Source organism: Homo sapiens, chromosome 3 (assembly GCF_000001405.40).
Source record: "Homo sapiens chromosome 3, GRCh38.p14 Primary Assembly".
NCBI classification, from domain to species: Eukaryota; Metazoa; Chordata; class Mammalia; order Primates; family Hominidae; genus Homo; species Homo sapiens.
The window spans coordinates 53057477-53065531 of NC_000003.12; the positions used below are offsets into that span (position 1 = coordinate 53057477).

An 8055-nucleotide genomic window follows, 5' to 3' on the forward strand; every position below is an offset into this window, starting at 1 on the left:
TTTACCCAGTAGCTTTGTACAAAGTGAAGTGTGGCCAATTGAATCCTAATTTTCTCATTACTAATTTTATAATACCTGGAATATATGATCTTCATTCCTGATGGAGCTTGCTTGTAAGGCCACCGGTTTTCATTTTCCACTATCTTTATCTAGTCATTCTGTCAAGTCTGGAGTTAAAAACCTGAGGTAGTCGGCCGGGCGCAGTGGCTCACACCTGTAATCCCAGCACTTTGGGAGGCTGAGGTGGGCGGATCACTAGGTCAGGAGATCGAGACCATCCTGGCTAATATGGTGAAACCCTGTCTCTACTAAAAATACAAAAAAAAATTATCCAGGTGTGGTGGCGGGCGCCTGTAGTCCCAGCTACTCGGGAGGCTGAGGCAGGAGAATGGCGTGAACCCGGGAAGCGGAGCTTGCAGTGAGTTGAGATCGCGCCACTGCACTCCAGCCTGGGCGATAGAGCGAGACTCCATCTCAAAAAAAAAAAAAAAAAAAAAAAAAAACTGAGGTAGTCACTTTACCTCCTGATATAAATTATGTTCTTAAAATGCAGCTAGTACATGTGATCTATTGAAAGCGGAGCGCTGCACTCAAAGATGTCTAGAGGTTCTTTCAGCTGTAATATTTGGGCTTGAGCTGTGAACAAACTTGTGAATATTTCAGAGGAGTTTTTTTTGTGTGTGTTTTTTTTAAGTTACCACCAGGTATCTTTTATATAAACTTTCTTGCACATACAAGGCTCAGGAAGAGTAATGTCATACAAGTGCACTAGGAATTGCCACATACTCCCAAAATGGGCGGCAAAAGGAACAAACATTACTAATTTTAAATACTAAGTACATACATAATACCTCAAAAATATAATTTGGTAAATAATCTTCTAACTCGTGTGGGTAATTTTTTCCCTTCCATTTGGAAGTGAACACTTGACTACTAGTTTAGTACAGAAGTAATCAATAGCACAAAAGCTAAATTCTTTCCAAATGGGCATTCTAAGCTCTAAAAAAAAAAAAAAAAAAAAAAAAAAAAAGCAGTCTCCAGGAGCCATTGATTTCTGCCCCAGCTCAACCTATGGAGTTTACTTACCTACATAAAATGTTCATAATTCTTATCTTATGGAAAAACCTCTTTGTACAACACAAAGGACTTACACAAAGTGATCGGAAAAGTGTCACTAAATGTGAAATACTAAACTATAATCATGTTTTTTTGTTTTTGTTTTGTTTTGTTTTTTGTTTTTTTTGAAACAGAGTCTTGCTCTGTTGCCCAGGCTGGAGTGCAGTGGCTCAATCTCGGCTCACTGCAAGCTCTACCTCCCGGGTTCACGCCATTCTCCTGCCTCAGCCTCCCAAGTAGCTGGGACTACAGGCAGCCACCATCACACCCGGCTAATTTTTTGTATTTTTAATAGAGACAGGGTTTCACCATGCTAGCCAGGATGGTCTCGATCTCCTGACCTCGTGATCTGCCCACCTCAGCCTCCCAAAGTGCTGGGATTACAGGCGTGAGCCACTGCACCTGGCTGGTATTTTTTTTTTTTTTAGATGGAGCCTCGCTCTGTCACCCAGGCTGGAGTGCAGTGGCATGATCTCGGCTCACTGCAACCTCTGCCTCCTGGGTTCAAGCGATTCTCCTGCCTCAGCCTCCTGAGCAGCTGGGATTACAGGCGTGTGCAACCACACCCAGCTAATTTTTGTATTTTTAGTAGAGACAGAATTTCACCATGTTGCCCAGGATGGTATCCATCTCTTGACCTCATGATCCACCCACCTCGGCCTCCCAAAGTGCTGGGATTACAGGCCTGAGCCACCGCGCCTGGCCCCAATGTTCATATTTTCATCTGTGGCCAAAATCTTGATGGTTTTAACAATTTATATTCTAATCATTTCCTAAACTTAAGCTTCTCATGTTTAGATTACAAACTTGCTTTCTCTATAGTCTTGAAATTACCTAATTCCTCAGCCTGAAAGACTTATTTCAATCACTTCACATAACCTCCAAATTTGAACTTAAAAATCAAGGAAGATTTTAAGTTAGGAAACACGCCCAGAAGCATGCCTAAGGTAAAAGGCAATCCCAGGGCACAGCTAAGCCAAATGACAAGCTAGATTTCTGGGAAGCTGCCACTTACTATTAATCTCAACCTGACAATTGTCTTACAAATGATATTGATAAATCATTTAATTACTATGGTCCAGTTCAAATATGTATCATTTTACTGCCTTGTTACCAGTTATGGCATACAAAGCACAGTAAATGATGAAGTTTCTGGGCTTTTCTTAGTTAACCTGAAGACCTGGCTTGTCAGTGTTCAGACTTGCTAAAACTTATTTACATATTTATCTCAGTATAATCCAAATGTCTGGGTTAGAATCTATTTTCTAAGTGTTTACTTTCTTTAGAAAGTAGAATTGCATGCACCTGAGACCTCTGGAATTTGCTATAGCATTGGACTAGATGTCCACTAATATACCTGAACAATCTTACCTTTAAAGTCAACATCCGTTAGGTTCTAGCAACTTCCTATTTCTCATTCCTTTAAACCTTTTAATACCTATTGTTTCTTTCCACATACTAGTACTTTCCTAAAGACATATTAGGTTGGCGCAAAAGTAACTGCACCAATCTAGTATTTTCAAAATCCAGTACACATTTAGGCTTTGTATGCAACTCCCTGTAATGTGTTTCTATTTCAGTGCAACCATCTCTGGCAATTAGAAAAATAACAAAATTAGAATGAATGAATACTTAATATCCTCCATCCAAATCCATACCAAAAACAAGCCCCAAATATATTGACAGTCCTGGAAATGATGTATCCTACTTTCATTTAAAAAATAAAACAGAGTAAAGGAACTAACTAGATGTATAGTACCTGATGCCACATTTTTTTTTTGAGACGGAGTTTTGCTCTTGTTGCCCAGTCCGGAGTGTAATGGCGTGATCTCAGCTCACCGCAACCTCCGCCTCCCAGGTTCAAGGGATTCTCCTGCCTCAGCCTCCCGAGTAGGTGGGATTACAGGCATGCGCCACCACACCCCGCTAATTTTTTGTATTTTTAGTAGAGACGAGGTTTCACCACATTGTCCAGGCTGGTCTTGAACTCCTAACTTCAGGTGATCCGCCTGCCTTGGCCTCCCAAAGTGCTGGGATTACAAGCGTGAGCCACCACAACTGGCCCCCTGGTGCCACTTTTTAAAAATCTTGCATAACTCCACAGTTCTCAAAATAGCTAATGAAGAAACCATGTCTCCAATAATTTCGATACAAGCTGTAAGTGCCTTAAAAATTTCAGCTCTGGCATTACTTCTATTTAAAAGTGTCAAGATAAAAGTTCACTGAAACATCTGCTGCCACTATTACTTTAGGAATCTGTATCCATTTAGGGATTTTTTTCTTCTAGAGTATTATAGCCAGTTTGTCAATAAAAAGTAGCATTCAGTATGCTTAACTTTCACTATCAAAAAATGATCTGCTAAGAAGTGACAGTTGGATTTAATCCAAGAAGTCCTTGTTTTCTATTTTACAAGAACTCAACTTTCCCAATTAAGTTGTTAGTCATTAAGATAGGTACCCTTTCCAAAAGTGATTCAACAGCCTGGTTTTTAGCAAATAAAAACTCCATATAAAATTCAATTTAAAAAATTAAACATAAGCACACAGGAGGCCAGGCGCGGTGGCTCACGCCTGTAATCCTAGCACTTTGGGAGGCCAAGGTGGGTGGATCACCTGAGGTCAGGAGTTTGAGACCAGCCTGGCCAACATGGTGAAACTCCGTCTCTACTAAAAATACAAAAATTAGCTGGGTGTGATGGTGCACGCCTGTAATCCCAGCTAATCGGGAGGCTGAGGAAGAAGAATTGCTTGAACCTGGGAGGTGGAGGTTGCAGTGAGCCGAGATGGCACCATTGCACTCCAGCCTGGGCGACAGGAGCGAGACTCCATCACAAAAAAAAGCACACAAGGATGTGCACACAGTTCAGAAACCAGGAAACGCGTGACGATAAACAGGATCCTATTTGATTGTCTTTATGACTTTTAAGAAGTGAGCATGACGCTGGTGCAGTGGCTCACGCCTGTAATCCCAGCACTTTGGGAGGCCGAGGTGGGTGGATCACCTGAGGTCAGGAGTTCAAGACCAGTCTGGCCAAAATGGTGAAACCCCGTCTCTACTAAAAATACAAAAATTAGCTGGGCGTGGTGGCATGTACTCCCAGCTACTTGGGAGGCTGAGGCAAGAGAATTGCTTGAACCTGGGAGGCGGAGATTGCAGTGAGCTGAGATCGCACCACTGCACTCCAGCCTGGGTGACAGAGCGAGACTCCATCTCAAAAAAAAAAAAAAAAAGAAGTGAGCATGAAAATAAATCTTTATTTTCAGTTATTACCCACCAGTAAGAGAAAGGTTCACAATTTTAGCTCTTGATACAAAGTGAACTAGGAGGCAAATTTATATCCATCAGATACAACTAATGGACCAACTTTTTAAGTTCTGGCTATCTTGAAAACTTGCAACATACCAGGTATTGCTGTGTTGTCTCTCAAGATAGCAATGAGTGACACTGCGTAGAAGTTGTGAAGTGTTTTTAATAGCAGGTGTTTTCTATAATATGCTGCTGGAAATCAGAGGTTTATAAACATGGTACATGTTCAGAAATGAGTTAGATACTTGAAAAATCTAAACACACTGATTTAGGAGTGTGTATGTTGCAGTCTTAAGAGGGGTCAATAGTCCTTACGGACTAAATTAATCTCTGGGTAGCAGGTATATTAGACATTAGCATCAGTGCAGAACATGCTCAGCATAAGATCCAAAACACCAGCACAAGTTTATCCATCATTAAAAACAATTACCTCCTTCCTAAAATATCAGAATAGTAGGTAACTGAGATTAATAAATCTAATCCAAATAAGTAACTCTTGTAATGCACAATTTCCCTTTTAGAAGTATATGTGAGAACCAATCAGCTAAATAGAAATGTTTAAGATTGAAGATGTCCAATATTTTTAAAACTGGACATTACCATATACAGGTAGAACATTTCTAAAAATGAAGTGACGAACGATTCTTAAAACTTTTTTAAAAATTCCTTCCCTGTTTAACAATAAATGTGGCAGAATAAAAGACAATCCTAGAAAACTTTTCTTATTCATCATTCTCTCCATGGATGTTTTAATACGTGGTGATGCTCCCATTAAAGGAATCCATTATTAACCTAATTTTCTAATGGAGGAAGAGGGAGAAGATAATTATTACTTTCTGTGGAACAAATACTCAACTTAGGACCAAATAATAACAATCTAGGAAATTTAGAAACAGTAAAGATTTTCGGTTTATATTTAATGGATGGTGCTGCTGTTCTAACCTTATAAAGTAAAGCTGTCTGCTTCCCAAATTCCAAAAATTAAAATACTCCCCAACCTCATCCTACCAACCAGTGCCCTTTAGATTTTTTTGCTTGTTTTAGAACAAGGAAGGTTTAAATGGTTGCTGATTATGGATATACCATTTTGATTTTAGGATCTTTCACACACAGAAATCATACCAAATGGCCAGACACTTACTGTATAGAACACTTTAAATATTACACATTGGCCAAATCAACTTATTCCACCCACCCTGGTGGAGGCGGGGCGGGGAAACCCATACCTGTAAAGCTACTTCACTTGACAGGATGTGTCTACCAACAATAAGTAGCTTAAACAACTTTCACCAATAAGATGTCTAGTTTAGATTTTAAAATAGGAAAGTCATGCATTTAAAAAGTAAATATAGTTAAAAATGTAAATCAGTTATAATTTGAACCTGATGAACCATGCAAGGAGCAAGGAAAGGTTAATAAACCAATGTGCTTTGAATTTGTTCAAGTACTGATATTTCTGTATGTCAAGATTTAGCATATATATATATATATATATAAAACAGCTATCATGGGAAGTGAAAAAAGATTTTTCCCCAAAAATGAAAATATTAAAACTAAGTTAAAATACATATAGTTAGTATCCCACACAGCATAAAATTTGACAAATCAAAGTTTAACATGTCCCAGTTGACCATGTGTGAAAATGCAAAGCAGATATTAAAACCAATATGTCCAATATTTAAAACCAGTTTGTGATTGGGGAACTTCTAAATCCTTAATTAAAAAACACAAATGAAGTGAAAGCGTTAAACTGGTACACACTGTTCACATCTATATTTCAGGTTTGGAAATGCATATTTGCAAGCAGCAATACAAAAGTATTCATGAAGAATGCATAATCTCTGAAAATTATGAAAACATCCCTGCTACCATTACCTTTTTTTCTTTCTTTTTTTTTTTTTTTTTTTTTTTTTTTTTTTGAGACGGAGTCTCCTCTGTCACCCAGGCTGGAATAGAGTGGTGCAGTCTTGGCTCACTGCAACCTCCGCCTCCCAGGTTCAGTCGATTCTCTTGCCTCAGCCTCCCAAGTAGCTGGGACCACAGGCGAGTGCTGCCACACCTGGCTAATTTCTTGTATTATAACGGGGTTTCACCGTGTTAGCCTGGATGGTCTTGATCTCCTGACCTCGTGATCCACCTGCCTCGGCCTCCTAAGCGCCCGGCCACCAATACATTTCTAAATACAAAACTGACTATCATATTTGTTACTTCTGTGTAGCGAGAGATGTTCATTTTTAAAACAGATAAAACTCAGTCTTTAGGTGTGAATGGTATGAATGACAGTTTTTTTTTTTAATTTCTTAGTTGTTTGGAATCCTTAAGCGTGCAAAAGCTTTGAACAGAAGAGTTCACAAAGGAACCAGGGTTGTCTTATGGCATCAGTTACGCCAGAGCCTCTGGGTCATCCACATCAGGAGCAGAAGCACTTGTTGGTCCTGCTGCCACGGTTTGGGCGCCCAACACGCCCACGTCCACCTCGTCCTCCCCTGCCACCATGTTCTGGGCGGCCAAGGTCTCCAAAATTGATCTCCAGCTGAGATGTTATATCATCTGCTGGCTTCTGGAAATGATGGTCCATAACCGATTCTTCAGCATGAGCCGCTTCACTTTTTGATTTATGAAGAACAAATCCCTTCTTCCACTGCCCATCAGCACCTTCATTTGGTTTTCAGATATTAAATTTTACTTTTGCCCAGTCCTTATTTTGAATAGCCTTCCACTCATCTAAAGTCATCTCTTTCAGACCCTCCTCTTTTACCTCTTCCACTTCATTCTCCTTATTTTCAGTGCCTGCCACTGGATGATGTTCCTAACCTTCAGGTGTTTCCTCAGTCACATTTGATGGATCCAAGTCAGTTAATTCATCTTTGACAGTTCCCCAGTGGTAAGATCCGCTACCTCCATGTTTGTCCTCGTGCTTCAGGCCACTGTAATGTGAAAAAGAAGATCACTTCCACGATGCCTATCAAATTCACGTTTGCCATGAGAATCAGATCCATCTCCTCAGCCCATTCCACATCCACGACCTCGAATAGGTTGGTCAATAATCGGTCTATCTAGTGAAAATTCGCCTCCTTCACCCTTTTCTTCAAGTGTCTTTTCAAATCTTCGTTCATGAGGTGGTCGCCTTTCTGGTCTTCTATCAGTTATTTTCCCTTCACCCTGAAGTTGTTGATCAGGTCTTCTTCCAACGCCTTGTCTTATTCTTTTTCTTTCTTTCTTTCTCTTTCTTTCTTTCTTTCTTTCTTTCTTTCTTTCTTTCTTTCTTTCTTTCTTTCTTTCTCTTTCTCTTTCTTTCTTTCTTTTTCTTCTCTCTTTCTTTCTTTCTCTTTCTTTCCTTTCTTTCTTTCCTTCTCTCTCTTTCCTTCCTTCCTTCTTTCTCCCTCTCTCTCTCTTTTTTTTTTTTTTGATGGAGTCTTGCTCTGTCACCCAGGCTAGAGTGCAGTGGTGAGATATCGGCTTATTGTAAGCTCCGCCTCCTGGGTTCACACCATTCTCCTGTCTCAGCCTCCTGAGTAGCTGGGACTACAGATGCCCGCCACCACGCCCGACTAATTTTTTGTATTTTTAGTAGAGACAGGGTTTCACCGTGTTAGCCAGGATGGTCTCGATCTCCTGACCTTGTGATCCGC

At 40.0% G+C, this 8055-nt stretch overlaps 1 pseudogene; it reads right to left on the bottom strand.

Moving 5' to 3' along the window:
- SERBP1P3 (SERPINE1 mRNA binding protein 1 pseudogene 3) lies at positions 692-7641 on the bottom strand (annotated as a pseudogene).